This window comes from Homo sapiens, chromosome 11 (genome assembly GCF_000001405.40).
Source record: "Homo sapiens chromosome 11, GRCh38.p14 Primary Assembly".
NCBI classification, from domain to species: domain Eukaryota; kingdom Metazoa; phylum Chordata; class Mammalia; order Primates; family Hominidae; genus Homo; species Homo sapiens.
The window spans coordinates 21,769,381-21,788,830 of record NC_000011.10 but is presented as its reverse complement, the minus strand read 5'-3'; the positions used below and the strand labels follow the sequence as shown (position 1 = coordinate 21,788,830).

Here is a 19,450-nt window from a genome sequence, read left to right as displayed (position 1 = left end):
ATTTTATTCAATGGCTACACAATACACATTCTTCTCCTCAACGTGTCGATTATTATCAAAAATAGACCATATGTTAGGTCACAAAGAAAGTCTTAAAATATTCAAAAATTGAAATAATATTAAACATCTTCTCTGACCACAACAGAATAAAGCTATTAATCAATATAACAAGAAGAAATTTGGAAATGATACAAATACATGGAAATTAAACGATATGCTCCTGAATGACCAGTGATACAAATATATGGAAATTAAACCATATGCTCTTGAATGACCACTGGGTCAATGCAGAAATTAAGAAGGAAATTGAAAAATTTCTTGGAACAAATCACATGATACACAACATACCAAAACCTGTGGGATACAGCAAGTGTAGTACTAAGAGGGAAGTTTATGGATACAAGTGCCTACATCAAAAAAGAAGAAAAACAATAAACAATCTAACGATACATCTTAAAGAATGAGAAAAGCGAGAGTGAACCAAACTCCAAATTACTGGTAGAAAATAAATAATCAAGATCAGAACAGAAATAAATAAAATTGAAATGAAGGAAACAATACAAAAGATAAAGGAAACAAAAACTCAGTTTTTTGAAAAGTTAAACGAAATTGACAAAACTTTAGCAACATTAACTAAAAAGAAAGACATAAAACCCAAACAAAGAAAATCAGAGATGAAAAAGGAGCCATTACAACTGATACTGCAGAAATTCAAAGGATTGTTAGTGACTACTATGAGAAACCACATGCCCAATAAACTGAAAAATCTAGGAGAAATAAACAAATGCCAAGACACATACTATCTACCAAGATTGATCCATGAAGAAATTAAAAACCTGAACAGACCAATAACAAGTGGCAAGATAGAAGCCATAATAAAAAGTCCCAAAGTGAAGAAAAGCCCAGAATCCAATGGCTTTACTGCTAAATTCTACTAAACATTTAAAGAATTAATACCAATCCCACTGAAGCTATTTCAAAAAATAGAGGAGAAGGGCGAACTTTCACACTCATTCTATGAGGTCAGTACTACCTTGATGTCAAAACCAGACAAACACCCACCAAAAAAAGAAAACTATAGGCTAATATCTCTCATGAACATCAATGCAAAAATCCTCAAGAAAATATTAGCAAACCAAATTCAACGACATGACAAAAGATCATTCATTCTGACCAAGTGGAATTTATCCTTGGGATGCAAGTCAACATTTGTAGTTAAATCAATGTGATACATCATACTGAACAGAATGAAGAACAAAATCTATAGGATCATCTCAACTAATGTTGAAAAATCATTTGATAAAATTCAGCATCCCTTCATGATGAAAACCCTCAAAAAACTGGGTATGGAAGTAACATACCTCAACATACTAAAAGCCATATACAGTGGACCCACTGTTTTGCTTTGTTTTTGAGACAGATTCTCACTCTGTTGCCCAGGCTGGAGTGCAGTGGTGTGGTCTCAGCTCACTGCAACCTCTGTTTCCCGAGTTCAAGCGATTCTCCTGTCTCAGCCTCCTGAGTAGCTGGGATTACAGGTGTGTACCAGCACGCCTGGTTAATGTTTGTATTTTTAGTACAGATGGGGTTTCACCATGTTGGTCAGGCTGGTCTCAAATTCCTGACCTTGTGATCCGCCTGCCTCAGCCTCCCAAAGTGCTGGGATTACAAGCGTTGAGACACCATGTCTGTTAATATACTCAATGGGGAAAAACTAAAAATGTTCCTCTAAGGTCTGGAACACCACAAGGATGCTCGGAGCAATCAGACAAGAGAAAGAAGTAAAGGGCTTCCAAACTGGAATGAAGAAGTCAAATTAGCCTAGTTTACAGATAATATGATTTCATATTTGGAAAAACCTAGAGACTCCACCTAAAAAAGCTATTTGAACTGACAAACAAATTCAGTAAAGTTTCAAGATACAAAACGAATATACAAAAATCCATAGCATTTCTAAATGTTAACATTTAACAATCTGAAAAAGAAATTTTTAAAAAGTAATCCCATTTACAATAGCCGTCAATAAAATTTGATACTTAGGAATTAAATTGACCAAAGAAGTAAAATATCTCTATAATTACACCATAAAACGTTAATGAAATAAGTTGAAGAGGACACCAAAAATAAAAAAGATACTCAATGTTCATGGATTGGAAGAATCATTATTGTTAAAATGTTCATACTACCCAAAGAAATCTACAGATTCAGTGCAATCTCTACCAAAATACTGATGATAGTTCTCACAGAAATAGAAAAAAAAGCCATAAAATTCATATAGAACCACAAATGACCCAGAATAGCCAAAGCTATCCTAGGCAAAAAGAACAAAACTGGAGAAATCACATTACCTGACTTCAAGTTACACCTCAGAGATATAGTGACTAAAACAGAATGGTACTGGCATAAAAACAGACACATAGACCAATGGAACAGAATAGAGAACCAAGAAACAAATCAACACACCTACAGTGAACTCATTTTTGACAAAGGTGCCAAGTTTATACACTGGAAAAAAAGGCAGTCTCTGTAACAAATGGCATTGGGAAAACTGGAGATCCGTATGCAGAAAAATGAAACTAGATGTCTATCTCTCACCATATACAACAATAAAATCAAAATAGATTAATGACTTAAATTTAAGACCTCAAACTATAAAACTACTATAATAAAACTTTGGGAGACTCTCTAGGACATTGGTCTGGACAAGCATTTTTTAAGTAATACTCTACAAGCACAGGCAACCAAACAAAAGTGGACAAATGGAATCACATCAAGTTAAAAAGCTTCTGCACAGAAGAGGGTATAATACACAAAGTGAAGAGACAACCCACAAAATGGAAGAAAATATTTGCAATCTACCCATCTGACAAGGTATTAATAACCAGAATACACAAGGAGCTCAAACAACTCTAAATGAAAAAAAAATCCAATTAAAAATAGGTAAAATATTTGATTAGACATTTCTCAAAAGAAGACATACAAATGGCAAACAGGAATACGAAAAGGTGCTCAACATCACTGATCTTCAGATAAATGCAAATCAAAACTACAATGAGCTATCACCTCCCCCTAGTTAAAATGGCTTCTATCCAAAAGCCAGACCATAAAAAATGCTGCTGAGGATGTGGAGAAAAGGGAACCCTTGTACACTGTTGCTGGAAATGTAAATTAGTACAAGCTACAAAGAACTGTTAGGAAGTTCTTCAAAAAACTAAATATAGAGCTACCACATGATCCAGCAATCCTACTGCTGTGTATACGCTCAAAAGAAAGGAAATCAGTATATAGAAGATATATCTGTACTCCCACGTTTGTTGCAGCACTGTTGATGATGGCCAATATTTGGAAACAACCTAAAGTCCATCCAACAGATGAATGAATAAAGAAAGTGTGGTACATGTACACAAAGGAGTACTATTCAACCATAAAGACAAACGAGATCCTGTCATTTGCAACATAGATGGAACTAAAGATCATTCTGTCAACTGAAATAGACCAGGCACAGAAAGACAACTATTGCATGTTCTCACTTATTTGTGGAATCTAAAAATCAAAACAGCTGAATTTATGGAAATAAAGAGTAGAAGGATGGTTAACAGAGGTTTGGAAGGGTAGTCCATGTGGGGTGAAAGGTGGAAATGGTTATGGGTACAACAAAAAATTAGAAAGAGTGATAAAGTCCACTATTTGATAGGAGAATGGAATGATTAGAGTCAATAATAATTTAATTGTACATTTTAAAATAACTAAAAGTGTAAAGTTGAATTATTTGTAGCATAAAGGATAAATGCTTGAGGGGATGAATACCTCATTGTCCATAATGTGATTATTATGTATTGCATGCCTGCATCAAAACATCTCATGTACAACTACTATGTACCCATAAAAATTAAAAACTAAAAATTAAAAAATGTCGAGTGGATACTAAGTTTTTTTATCACAAAAATGATAACTATGTGAGGCAATACAAATGTTAATTATAACAGCTACATTTAGTCATTTCACAATGTATATATACTACAAAACATCTAGTGTTACATATAAATTCATACAATTGTATCTGTTAGTTTTTTAAAAACTTAGAAGATAGACAAATAACCTCTCAAAATGATATAAATTTAGATGGTGTTTAAAAATTATATCTTTTTATCAATTATTTTTATTTAGAAAGTAGAGCTATTATTCATAGAATATTTTTATTAAAATATAATGGATTTGATTTTTTTTTTTCCAGAAACAGTGTCTCACTCTGTCACCCAAGGTGGAGTGCAGTGGCATGATCACTGAGGCAAGAGGATAGGTTAAGGCCAAGAGTTCAAGAGTTCAAGTACAGTGAACTTGAACTCTTAAACTTGAACTCTTGAACTCTTGGGCTTAAGCTATCCTCTTGCCTCAGCCTCCATCGTAGCTAGGACTACAGGCACACACCACCATGCCCAGCTAATTTTCTTTTCTTTTCTTTTTTTTTATACAGATGGATCTTGCTATCTTCCCTAGGCTGGCCTCGAAAGCCTGCTCTTCAGGCTCTGGAGTAGCCACTGTGCCTGGCTATATATACTAAAATTTGTAAGGAAGGAGAGAATGTGTGAAGCTCCTGAAGGAATATTGTGTCTAGTTGCAGAAGCCTAGAGCTATTTTTGTTGGAGATTTCAGAGGCCTACGCAGAGGTAGAACAATGAGGCTCCACCCGTGGTGATGCAAATGAGTGATTAACCTCTCCCAGCCTTTATCATGTAACCTTGAGAAAGTCCCTCAACCTCTTTAAGATACAATTTTCTTACTATGAGTTAGGTTAGTACCTAGCTATAGGGTGGTTGTGAAAATGAATCGAGACAACACATATAAAGTACTTACTACAACATGTAACATCTATCAATTATTATGATTATAAATATCTCCCCGGCAAATTTGTATTATTTTTAAGGAAAGACATCCTATTTCAATCATCTTACTTTCCCCTTACCCATCTAGCATAGTGCTAGGTATTATAAATGTTTGTTCAATTGAATTTATATGACTTACTAATTTTCTATTTCAGACAGTATATTTTAAAAAATAGAAGTAAATGAGAAACTTAAAGATACACCTTAGCTCCTAGGATATTAATCAGTACTCAGCAGCAGGTCAATAAATGCTTCGTTAGTTGGCTGAAAACACTAATCTCCACCTATGCTTTGGAGTCGCTGTTAAATGAGTATAATGATACAGGAAATATTTGCCAATAGAATTAAATTGTTGCCAAATTTAAACTATATTCTATTTAATTCAAGATGCATCATGAATTGTGATTTTTCTATTTAAGCCCAAAGCTAGCCAATAGTTTTAACTCTGGAATAGATATTTTAGCCAAGGCATTTTATATTTGAGTTAGAATTGTGTCTTTTATTGTAATATTTTTAATTTGTCAATGGTTTAAAGTGTCTCAGAAACATGGAATTTAAGGGTGCAAATGTGACTAGAAAACGGATTAAAACCTTCACTTCCAATTTAATCAAATGCCTTGCTATATTTTTACATAAAACAATCCATAATTGACTTTTAAAATATGAAAATTGGTTTTGGCCAATGTCCCATTCATCTGTTGCTAAGATCAGACCTCTCTAGGTAATCTACATAGGAATGGATCAGAGAGGAAAGGGAGTTTATAATTGTCATTGCAGCATATGTCAAATTTATTGATTGCTTGCTTTATGCTATTCTTTCATTTTTTAGCAAGCATATTTAGCTCTCACAGAAGCCCTAATAGTAACTGATGCCATTATTAGTCACATTATACAGATGGGACAAGTTAAGTAGAGAGAGATTATTTCACCTGTGCAAATGTTACAGGTAGTTAGATTGGCATGAGTGGGGCAGGAGAGGCCTCTTCTCCCCCTACTCACTAGGAGTATCAGGTGATGGTTTGACGATTATCACACTGCTCTCTAAAAATAATAATTTGGCAGCCAGTGCCTGGGCGCCAGGGAGAAGACAATCTCCTGACCATCCACAGCTATCAAATCCACAGCTATCAACACTAAAGAACTAATTGAATTGCAGATGCCAGCGAGAATAAACTTTCTGGGAATGTGTGTTAAGAGATGAAATGGCAAAAAACGACCTACCAGGTGCACTCCACTGGAGAAGGGAAGAAAGCTTCAGTTGGGTATGCGTACAACTTCCTAAACGCACTGCGCGTGCTCACTTCCCAAGGGTAAGGAGGGCACTGCGCATGCGGGAAGCCCAAGCTAAGGGAAGAATCATGGGAAAGACCCAAGCCTATAAAGCCCTAGGATCAAGGTCAAAGGCTCTCTTTGATCTTCAGGAGCCCACTTGGATCTCTTAAGTGAACTTTCCTTTCTTTCCTGTTCGAAAGCCTTTTAAAATAAACTGCTCCTGCTCTGAAACTTGCTTTAGTGTCTTGGTGTCTTTCTCTGCCTTATACCCCTCAGTCGAATTCTGTCTTCTGAGGAGGCAAGAACTGAAGTTGCTGCACACCCACATGGATATGCCACCGGTAACACAGGGTAATTTGGATACCTTCCACAGAATCATCCAGATCATAAGTAGAGAGCCAAGAGTCAAACGTAAATAGTATGGGTTTGTAATACGATTCAAGTGGCTACATTTTAAATCACCACTTGAATGCTTTGACACTACCCACTACCACTTTGATATAGGAATGGCCTCCACCCTCTTCTTAGGTGACAGCCATCTTTCAGTATTTAGCATCTCTTATGTGTTTATTTTTAAAAGGCCTTGGACATATAAGAACGTGTTTATTTTTATGATGGCTTTATTTTACTTCTGAGGAGACATTTTACATGCTGGGAAAGCATAAGAGCATCTCATGTCTACTCAAATAAAAAAGCAATTAATCAGAGCTTAACATTTTTGACAGTGTCTTAACACCTTGCAACGGGGTCGTTAATTATTTCTTTCTAGTAGAGTTCTTGAATGATTAAAGCTAAAAGCTTCATGGAGTAATTTCTTAAGAGTGGTTGTGACAGAATATCATTGAATTTAAGTGCATTTTGTTTCATGGAGATATGTTACGATATTTGTTATTATGACATAAGTAATCTGAGAGAAGAAATACCTACACACCTAAAGTCAGCAATTATTTCAGCGTAATGCAAAACATGATATCACCTAGAATTAAATGCTTCCCTATTTTATTAATTTATTTTATTTCAAAAATGATTAAAGGAAAACTAAAATTAAAATTTCCCTTTTGGGGCTAGAAAAAATAAGATTGCTGGATACAGTGGAATGAACGCTAAATTAGAAACCCCAAAATATTCCTCCAAATTCCTGCTTTGCCTTTGATTAGCTAATGCTCTTGGGGAAATCTGTCTTTTCTCTTATAAAGTAAGATATTTTAGCTAGATGCTCCCTGTCCTTTCCAACACCTATCCTAATATTTCCTTTCCACTAATACTCAGTGCACAATAAACATATCATCGCTCTCTCACTTTCTTCCTCTTTTTAAAAAAACGTCTCATATGTCTGTAAACCTTTCAAGAGTAAATGAGAGTTTTAGTTTCCAGATGGTTTCCTCTAATGGTTTTTGTGGGACATATATCTGAAAATTAGGACTTAGTATTTAGAAGGAAGTGAACCATACAATAGTCTTACCTCTCTATGGAACCCATCATTTGTCATAACCATTCAATTCATCATCCATGAGCTACTATAACTTCTATTTTCATAACTTTATTAAATGAAGATAGTAAATGATTGCCCTATGCCTAAATGTGCTCCTTTTTTAGAACTAGAATTATGATACTTTTGAGATAATCTCTGCTTTTGAAACACGTGTTATTATAGTGTCATAAACCCATTATTTATTAGCAAACATATTTAAATAAAAAAGATGATTTTTAAGATTTCAAAAGATGCTACCAATGTTTACGTTCTTGCACATTCTTCTTTCAAAATCTTTTTTCATGGTTTCCTCTGATGATCAGTCCAAGTTAGACTAACAGAGGAAACACAGCTAAATGCATGAAGCCTATGATTATTTTGGCAAATTATTCCAAGGTGTTTTCCAAAATGACTAAACTTACCCATCCACAATAAATTCCTAGTAAAGTTTCAGTGGAACTAAAATAGATATGAAGCTTATTTCTCACTATTATGGCAGAATGGACAATGTTAAGTGGACAATTATTGATTTCCTGTCTAAACTGATTGACATTAATTTTAATAAGCTGGGACCTTTCTCCCTTATTTCAGGCTGTTGTTCATGAGTTCAAGATTTTATTCCTGAATTACGACTAATAGAATGGCTTGCTTACTTTTTCTAAAGTCTTTCCATGGTCAGAAAAACAAGTTATTATTAAAGCCCAGAAGCTAAATTATAATTTTATAAAGAAGCTTTTAGTCTGTTAATGTTTGATTTGTTGTTTGACTGCTTTCCAAATAATTAAAATGTTCTTCTTTCAACCCCTAATGTGAACTATAGAACCTCTGAGAATTTTACCATAACTAACATGGATCATTATTAGTTATAAGATTGTATTTACTGGCGCCACGTAACAATAATTGGCAAGCAAGCAAATTAAATAGAGTCAAACTAAGTCTAAAAGCTATACTGGAAGAATACAGCTTGTACTTGTGACATCTGACTTGATAAGAAAAAATAGATAGATAACAAATGATGTATTGTAAAGCCATACCTCTTCCCTCAACATGACAGTTTTTGAAAATGTCTTTGGAAGCAAAAATTAGGATGGAAAATGCAAAGTCCAATACAGATAGCAGTTAAATCAGTTAGTTTAACGACTCTGCGTCTCCTAACCACCACCTCTGTTCCTTATTTTAATCACTCAACAATGAACTCAAAGTTAGAATGAGAGGTCTATTGCAAAATAAGCTTGATATTGAGGGGGTAAAACCCTACAATAAAATAATAAATAATTAGGAACATACTGAGTTGATTTCATTTTTTGCCCTTGTGTAAATCTAGCATTTAAATGAGATGATTACATTTGATTGTATCTTTTTTTGCTTACTTATGAAAGGAGAGCATAATAACTAACGTATTTCTCCATATATGTTTAGTAACGAAGATATCCATTTCAATTTCATCTTTGCAAAGAAACATGCTTTGCCAAGTGCTCACACCTGCAAATATGTTTTCTAACTCTTCATTTTCTTCTCTAATTACTCCTTGATTGTAGGGTAAATTCTCCAAGCTGTAGTGAAAAGCAAATCATTGTCTTTTTATCACCTCCCTGGGGAATTCATTACACTTGTTTACTGATGTGTATGGCTGACTGAATAAAGTGATTCCTAATTAGCATATATGAAATAATCATTGGTCTATCTGGAGTCATAATTAGTGCATTAGGAAGAATTTACTCAGTGTCAAGAAGATAGGTATTAGAATAAATTAGCTTATCTTACCTGCGTTGAAGCACAGAGAATACCTTAGATACAATGTTTATTAAAACAGGGCAATAACAATATGGCAATTTCCTAAAATCATTAGTGCACATCATTGAAAATATAAATTTTTGCACCTAAACTCCCCTCTACATAATATGCCACAGAAATAAAAAGCTAACTTGACATCTTAGTAAATGTAACTGAAGGTTTGAAGACAGGAAAAATTCAATTGTTTTTCCAGTATTCTTTAATAATTACTATATTTAGTATTTTCCTGGGCTTGGGAAAAACCCACCTACTAAAGGAATTTTTTCATTGAATGCAATCTTTAGTTTGCTTTAGGCATATGTTTCATTTCTGGATAGGATTGGTAAAGATTTGAAGCTAAAAACACAGAAGAGTTGAGGGTTTCAAGGGAAAAGCCAGCTGGCTGTCTTTGTCTTAGAGAATTTGACATGGTCTACAGGCTGGCCTTCAGCCTCACCAGCTCAAAGACTGGTTAGCATATTAAGCATATAACTGGTTAGCATATTAAGAAGTGCTCTTTTGAATTCTCACAAATCAAACTTAGGATGAGTGATGTAAAAAGCAGAGCCTATCTTATTGATTTACAATGAGAAGTATAACTGTCAAAAGGATGAGTACATTTGCATCAATATGACCAGTTCACTCTCCCACTAAGCAAATCTTCTTGGGAAGCCAAATTACGACCTAAATTTGCTTGCTGAACATGGAAATATGTCAGGTCACTCAGTGGTTGTGAGTGTGTTGAGTATCACCAGACATAGTCTCTGATGTCTCAATGAGAAAATCTACACAGCATAAATCACTTGGCCACAGGGACTGGGATATTGAGGATTTGTATGAGGACTCTCCTTCGCACTGGGAGGATAGAAACTGACTGGACTAGAATCTCTAGCTCCTCCTTTCTGCACTTCCTGACTGATGAGCTGCTTCCTAATGGGCACATTTCTCTATAGAGAAGTTAATCCCTTGGGTGAAGAGCTTAGTTTTCTTTCCATCTCTTATGATGTTTTTGCTTATCTTGGATCTTTGGCATTATACATTCATTCTACATTTTAATTATGAGTCATAATTTTTCACACGTTCTTGTAGAGGAATCTTACTATTGACCTGTGTCAAATGTCTTCATACAAAAATCTAAAAGGAAACATTCTCATGAGAGTCTCAGTTGTATAATTTGTTTGAACTGAAAAGTCTAAGATACCTTTACCAAGAATCCATAGTCATAGCACACACAGTCCTGTTCTATGGAGAGGATATGACATTGGCCTTCCATACACCCCCACTCTGCCCTTTCTACACTCTTTCTCACGGACATTCAGTTGCTCTCTATCATCCCCTTCCTCCATCCACCTTTACCCTCATTTCAGCCCTCACACACATACATACCACATCACTCCCCAGTGGGCATGCAGCTTGCCCCACTTTCTGTGATCCCTCATCTCCATGTGTATATTTATTTTCAAAAATGTTTAATATATATAAAGAGGCAAACTAGAGAGGATCATTGGAAAAAATTTTAACGCTCTTCCATGAACTTTAATGTAGCTTTGGGAAAACTCTCTACCTTTCTCTGTGCCTCATACCAACAGTTGGGGATTTTATATGATCTGCATATTTCATGAGTTTTTATTCCTTAAGTACAGGAGAATTTGTTCTTATAGAGCATTAGACTTGGGTTAGAATACTGTTCATTAAATTAATCTGATAACTGCCTCAATAATCCAGTTAGGTGCATACCATTAAAAAACATGTATGTACATGTGTGTTAGTAGTAGTACAATGTTATGCATTGGTGTATGTGTGTACATATGTAGACAGATGCAGATGGATGGATAGATAGATAGCTAAAAAAATGTATGTAGACCAACGATTTTAAAATAAATAAGAAAACTCCAAATAGGGGGAGTTCTAAGGTTAATAAACTTTGGAAATCTGGGTTCAAAACAATAAACAAGGTTCTTTAACTGCAGGAAATCTCAGAGCTTGTAAGAAGCTAGTATGTTTGTGAGAGAGTTACAGAGTTTTCACATTTTATTTGATTACAAAAACTTTTGTTATAAAAAATCAGTTCTTAGAACTTTATGTTTTGCAGAGCACACATCTGCAAATTTAGTTGTAAGAGGCTTATTTTCTAGAGTCCATTATTAATTATCACTTTTGATCCAGATACAGAGAGTTACTCTGTATATACTATCGATAGAGACAAATTGTCCTCATGCTCAGATTATCAGTTGGCTATTAGTTAATAAAAAAATGATGTGAACAAGAAATGTCATTCAAAGTAAACAAATAACTAGGTAAACAAATTACAGTACAATCATTAGATGGAATACCACTCAGCATTAAAAAGTAATGGAATACTGAAACCCAAAAGGGCATAGCCGAATCTTCAAAATATTATTCTAAGAGAAAGAAGCCAGATATAAAATGCTATAATTTAATTATATAAAATTCAAGGACTGACAAAATTAGTATATGGTTATATAAATCAGAAGAGTGGTTGCCTCTGGAAGTGAAATGATTGACTAGAAAGAGTCATCATGACACTTTTTGGGATGATAAATATGTTCTGTATCTTGACTTGGGTGATGACAGTTCAGGAAATTTTATTTGTTAAAGATCATCAAACAATTAAGATTGTTTAAACAATCTTCAACAATTATGATTTGAGCATTTATTTTATTGTACATAAATAATACTTCAGTATGGAAATATTTTTTAAAGAAATGTTATGTAAAGTTTGAGATTATAGTGCTCTGTTTACAATAGCTTTTGTTAACTGGAGTAGAATGATACTCATGAGAAAAATAAAGTGATGAAGAGCTCTACAACTGCATTGCATTCTACAAATATAAGAGGCTGTCATTACTATGTTTCTCATCAGTATCATAGTCAGGGAGGAATTTATCTTAACCCTGATTCCCAGGAAAGCAGAGCCTGTTGCAATATTTAGATGCCAATGCTGATTTGGGACATGCAATCCTGGGACATTAAAAGTGAAGGAAAGGGGAAATAAGGCAGAGAAGGATGAGAAGCAATGTATTGTTACACTGGTTATTGTATCATTATTTGAGTGAGGGCAATACACTTAGTTGACAGAGTCAGTACACTGGCTTAGGTTCCTAGTGTGTTTCCAGAAAGTGTGAATAGACAGAACTGTTATTGAAGGGAGAAGAAAAAAAAGACTAATTACTTTCTCCTATCCTCTGATGCACAGTGATCAACATTTCCCCCCAGAGGAAGCTATGTCCTTTGCACTTCTGGTTTACATCACTTCACCCATTTGGTAACCACCTTGGGTGCAAGGTCCTATACCTTGTGATATGGCCCTTCAACTGAATCCAAAGTCTGTTAGAGCACATAGCTGATCAGCTTCAGGAAGCAGAACCATGTGAGCATGGACAGAATTAGCCCTGGTGGCAGGTGAGATGGAGCAAACATGATGATTCAAGACACAGACTAGATGCTGAGAGAACTGAAAAGCTTTATCTGATACTGCCAATAGAGGGTCAGGTTAGTATAATAACAACTACTATGTGGATTTCTGTTAAAGTTGTTGTGAGAATTAAGTAAGTTAATACATAGGAAATTCTTGTAAGCTCATAATAAGTGCCTAATATATCTTAAATATAAATCTTATATTTTATTATATTCTTATCACTGCACAACATATTTTTCTAAATATAGCCTCATTTAGTTCTTATAACATTTTTTTCAAGTAGTGTTTTTCTCATCTGACTTTACATCTTCTGAATATGAAGCTTACACAAATTAAATGTTGTAGCAACTTAATAGTGAGTGTTTTAATGTGTACAGGCCATGGAACTGAGGACTAAGCTTTACATGACTTGACCAGCATCATGCAGCTATTGAGGAACTATGGCACGACTAGAATACAGAATATGTATCTCTTAGTCAAGAATTTCCCATGTCACACCATGCTACCTTTTCCCAATTATGTGTAAAACTACAAATATTTTAACGATACAAATATTTTACTAATATATTTAAGTATACTGGTTTCCTTTTTAGGCTTCTAAGAAACACAAAAAATAAAGTGTTACAACAGGCCATAAAAATTTATTTCTTAAGTCCGGAATTTGCTGAGGTTTCTATGGGCATAAACATAGTAAACATTTCTGGGAACAAAATGGAAACCGTCTTATTGGCTCATACATGTTTTACTGATTCATAAGTGTTTTTTCATCTTTACTTTGATCAAGTGGTTCAGGCCTGGTCCCTTTCCTCCTGCTCAAGTTCATCTGTTCATGCATTAATGAATCTGTCTATGCCCTGAAGAGCAGGTAGTTTAGAGGGGGAGATAGATAAGTACACAGTTATAAAACAATGTGATAAATGCTAAAATGAATGTAATTGTGGGTGCTTTGGATGGTCAAAGAAGTCTGTTATAAGACATTAGTAATGAACACCCCATTTTATAGTGATAAGAATTTTATTAATTTTAAAGCATCCCTTTAAAATATAAATCTAGTTCTGGATAATTTGAACCATATTTTTTTTTCATTGAACCATTATGTAGTGGTGACAGAGCATTAACTAAAGAAAGTTCCTCCCAGGTAGGAAAAGCAAGTAGAAGCTCCTCATTGCTAAAGTAGAAGGATGTTTTACAGGGGATGAATCCATGGAGAGAATATTACATGAGTCCCTAAAAGGAACCCACAATTTCCAACACTTTAGGTATTGATGAAAGTGGAAATTGGAGTGATAAAACTCCTTGAAAGAAACGGGAAAATCTAATAATATCTAGTATGCTGCTCCTGACCACATGCAGCAAGGCTTAGGAGCAGCAGAGGAGCAAGGGCAGAGGAAAGGGTCTAGAAATAAGTACTCAGGGCTACTCCCTCTTTGGCCATGGTCAACATGCCATGTGCAGTAGCCCCAGGAGTCCTGTGTGCCCTGCCAGCAGGGTATAGAGCTGCTAAGAGGGCTGCCAGTGGAACTTATCAGAGGAATTGGAGCAGCATGAGTTGGCCACAGAGCAGGGTCCATGCCAGGAGTTTTGGCAGTGGTTGTCAACTCCAAAAATAGGGAATTAGTCATTCCTGGGCAAACACCAACAGGAGTTCTCCAGGGACGAGATTACACCTCTCCATATTAGAGTAAACCACAGCATTCCCTCGTAGGCCTCCCTTTGTGACTGTGAACATATACTGGAGAGGTAACCTTTATATAGTCACCACCTTGGAAAAGAGGCAAGTGAGGAAAAAAAACGAACAAACTAACCACTAATCTTACACTGAACAGGGAAAAATTAAAAGCCTTTCCTCTAAGAACTGAAACAAGAAAAGAATGTCCACTTTCTCCACACTTATTCTTCAAAGTACTGGAAGTCCTAGTTAGAGCAATTAGGCAAGATAAAGAAATAAAGGCATCCAAATAGAAAAAGAGAACATCATGTTTTTCCTTTTTGTAGATGACATAATCTTACATAAAGAAAAACCTAAAGACTCCATCAAAAACCTCTTAGAACTGATAAATTTCATTAAGATTGCAGTATACAAAATCAATATACAAAACTCAATAGCATTTCTATACAGTAATAATAAACTAGCTGAAAAAGAAATCAAAGAAACAATCCCATTTATAATTGCTACTAAAAAACATCTAGAAATAAATTTACAAAGGAAGTTAAAGATCTCTACAATGAAAACTACAAAACACTGATAAAAAAAAATTACAGAGGCCACAAAATATGAACAGACATTTGAGGCTCCTAGATTGAAAAAAATTAATATTGTTAAAATGACCATGCTACCCAATCTAGAGAATCAAAGTACCAATTACATTATTCACAGAAATGGAAAAAGAATCCTAAACTTCACGATAAACCACAAAAGACCCTGAGTAGCTAAAGCAATACTGGACAAAAAGAACAAAGCTTGAGGCATCACACTTGCTGACTTCAAAAATAATACAAAGCTATAATAACCAAAACAGCATGGTATTAGTATAAAAAGAGATGCATGAATCAATGCAATGGCATATGGAACCCATAAATAGGCCAGGCGCAGTGGCTCACAGCTGTAATCCCAGCATTTTGGGAGGCCAGGGTGGGCGGATCACCTAAGATCAGGCATTTGAAACCAGCCTAGCCAACATGGTGAAACACTGTCTCTACTAAAAATCCAAAAATTAGCCAGGCGCGGGGGTGGGCACCTGTAATCCCAGCTACTTGGGAGGCTGAGGCAGGAGAATCGCTTGAACCCAAGAGGCGGAGGTTGCAGTGAGCCAAGATTGTGCCATTGCACTTCAGCCTGGGTGACAGAGCAAGACTCCATCTCAAAAACAAACAAACAACCCATAAATAAATCCATGTATTTACAGCCAACTGATTTTCAACAAAGATGACAAGAACACACATTGGGGAAAGAACACTCTCTTCAACAAATGGTGCTGGGCAAACAGGACATTCATATGTAGAAGAATAAAATTAGACCTCCATCTCTCATTGTATATGAAATAAACTAAAAATGGTTTAAAGCCTTTAATGTTTGACCTGAAACGATAAAACTACTAGGAGGAAACATAGGGAAAATGTTTCAGGACATTTGTCTAGGCAAAGATTTGATGAGTAAGATTTAAAAAGCACAAGTGAAAATTACAAAAATAGACAAATAGAAATATATCAAACTACAAAGCTTCTGCCCAGAAAATGAAACATCAACAGAGGGAAGACAACTTGTAGAATGGGAGAAAATATTTCCAAACTATTCGTCTGACAAAGGACTAATATTCAGAATATATAAGAAACTCAAATAACTCAACATTAATTATAGATAATCTGATCAAAAAGTGGACAAAGCCAAAAGAAGTCATATAGGTGACCAAGAAGTATATGAGAAACAATGTTGAACATCACAAATCATCAGAGAAATGCAAATCAAAATCACCATGATATATCATCTCATCCTCATTATGATGGCTATTATAAGAGATAAAAAATAACAAGTCCTTGCTAGGATGCAGACAAAACGAGATTCTTATACATTGTAGGTGAGAATGTAAATTAGTACAGCCTCTATGGAAAGCAGTATGGAGATTTCTCTAAAAACATCAAATAGAACTACATGATCCAGCCATTTCGCTACTGGATATTTATACAAAGGAAATCAGTATATTGAAGAGACGCCTGCACTCCAGTGTTTATTGCAGCACTAGTCACAATAGCCTAGATATACAATCAACCTAAATGTCCACAGCCAGGTGAATGGATATAGAAAATGTGGTATATGTACACAATAGAATACTATTGAGCCATTAAAATATGAAGCCCTGTCATTCACAGCAACATGGATGAGCCTGGAGGACATGATGTTAAGTGAAATAAGTCAGGTATGGAAAGACAAATACCATCCACTTTCACTCATATGTGGAAGCTAAAAAAAAAATGAGTTCATAGAAGTAGAGAATAGAATTCTGGTTATTAGAGGCTGTGAGGTAGCGGGGAAGAAAAGATAGGGAGAGATTGGTTGATGGGCATGGAATTACAGTTAAATAGAAATAATAAGTTCTAGTGACATAGTACTGTAGAGTAAATATGGTTCATAATAATTTATTATATATTTTCAATAGCTAGAAAACAGGATTTTGAATGTTTATGACAAAAAGAAATGATAAATATTTCAGTTGATGGATACTCTAATTACCCTGATTTTATCATTATCCATTGTGTGCATGTATAGAAATATTACTGTTTCTCCTACAAACATGTGCAACTATTATGTGTCAATAAAAAAGAAAAAATATATACTTTTTTTAGGAGTTACACTTTCAAGCTCTGAGATAATATTTTTCCATGTACTGTATCTTTTAGAATTTACAATAAGCCTAAGAGGTAGATAGAAACATTATCCCCAATGTATAGATGGGAAGGCTAAGTTACCATTAAAATGTTAATTGCCCATGTTCCTTTAGGGGCCATGTCTCCTATTTGAACCCAGACAAATCAATTCTAATATCCATGATTTTGGCCACATTGTCATGCCTGGCTCCCATGCTTCATTATTCTGCATTGAGGCAATTTTAAGAATGAGGAAAAAAAGAGATGACTAATGTAGGTATTCAGTGCCCAGTTTTTTCCATGAATGTGTTGCTCACAATAAACGTCTGTGGAACTTGCCTATGCAGCAAAAACTTAATTGAGTGGCTGCTGGGCAACCCAAGCCAGCTGCTGGGAAATTGTGCCCTTGTTTACAGAATCAAGTCCCTTTTTTATTCCTGTCAACAGTTTTGGGGATTTCTATATTCTAAGCTGATTCTGCATTTAATGTATAATTGCAATACAAGATTGAAAATTCTGTTTACAGTGTAATTCTAAAGTAGTTTACACTCTTGCATTATTGAAATGGCTTGCTTGAAACAGCTCACTACACCTAGAAAAGCCTTCTTAGCTAAGTAGGAGGACTTACAAGTCCATTCTTTACAAAATGCTACAGCCAGATGAAGTATATCCTGTTGCTGGCTGATTTTTTTTAAACTAAGAATTTATTTTAAACTTTTCCAGTTTAAGGCAATTATTCCTTCCTGTTCATTGGCATAATATCTTGGGGGTGCATTTATAAGTTTATTAATGAAAATCATTCATTGATTGAAGACAACGGTAGAAGGTAAAAGTATGTCATAAACTAGGAAGTTTTCCAAATGCAAGTTTTTATTATTATTCTTCAAAAACAATACCAATAGTTGGTGCTATTAAAATAATATTTACAATCTTTGCTGGGATAAATTTCCCAACTTTAAGATACACCTTGTGGACATTAATAATATGAATATTCTGTAGTCTTTGCTAGTTTCCTTTCTCCTTAAGATTAATTTCTATGAAAGAACATCGTTTTAGCCTTTGAATTTCAACTAACATTTCAAGGTAACCTAGGGTTTATAGGACACCATGCTAAGCACTCAAAAAAAAATGAAAAGTTATAAAACATGGTCCCTTCCCTTTAGATCACTAATGTATGCCAGGGAAGATTACCTGATGTATTTGAAAGAAGTAGAAAAAGTTCACTTCCAGCTCTAGTACTAGTGATATGACTTTCTATGTTATTTAACCTGAGACTCAGTTTATTAACCAATAAAGTGAGGTTCATAATATTTGTTTTGAAAATTTTTATGAGGCTTACATGAGATAATTTATGTAAAAGTCAGCACAATATCAAACAGAGTAGTGTTTATACATGCTAGGAATGTTTATGATGGTGAATAAACACACACACACACAAAAAAAAGAAAAGTAAATACCATACATTTTCAATGGCTATGACAAAACAAAAGCTAATTTCATGTTTGAGTATTTAAATATATTTATGCTTAAAAATATTAACCGTAAGCTTTAATATGTTTAACTTGCCAAAAAAAAACCCCAATAATATTCCTGAATAAAAAATCTGGCTGGGGTGTAAATCAATACCCCCAACTTTAATTTACTCAGTTAACCAGAAATTAACCTAATTGCATACCTGAGAGCTTGAGGAATGAAAATGGAAAAGAATAGGGTAGGTATTTTGCTATTCGCCAAGATGGAAAATCACAGGAAGTGGTAACCAATGGCCCTAGAAAAGAGGTTTGGTTTCAGAGAGCCTCCGACTTAGACTCTGATTCTTTTTAACTGTGTGATGGCAAATAATGAAACTTATTTCTTCCTCAGCTTTTTCATCTTAAAAAGGATATATTGTGTGTAAAATGGTTATCACATAACCTGCAAGAGAGTAATTGCTCAAGAAAAATGAAGTTATTATTCTTTTAGCTGTTTTTTAAAGTATGAATTGAATTAAGATTTGGTTTGCATTTCTGACCATGAAGCATCAGTACAAAGAAATTGTTGGGTCTAATATGTTGAGGAGCTCAGGTCACTGATAGATTGTTATAGAAAACTAGATTTGTTGCTAAAAAGGATGCTCTCATGAAATTACCCACAGAAGTAGTCAGGGAAGATTCCACACTGGAAAGAAGCTGCAGTTAATTTTCACACTGTGTTTCATGTCGCCATAAAAGTCACATGAATTACCCGTGGTCACTGTAAAATGCTAATAAT

At 34.7% G+C, this 19,450-nt stretch overlaps 1 long non-coding RNA gene across 4 annotated transcripts in view; it reads right to left on the bottom strand.

Moving 5' to 3' along the window:
• The window catches only part of LOC102723370 (uncharacterized), a 366,694-nt gene that overhangs the window by 331,069 nt on the left and 16,175 nt on the right, over nucleotides 1-19,450 (bottom strand). For 3 of the 4 annotated variants that reach the window (XR_931110.3, XR_007062621.1, XR_931109.3), the window contains exon 1: nucleotides 6,105-6,175. The exons of the other annotated variant lie outside the window; for it this stretch is intronic. This is a non-coding gene — a long non-coding RNA (uncharacterized LOC102723370). Of the gene's footprint in view, nucleotides 1-6,104; nucleotides 6,176-19,450 lie in introns of those variants that run through there. 4 annotated transcript variants of the gene reach the window in all.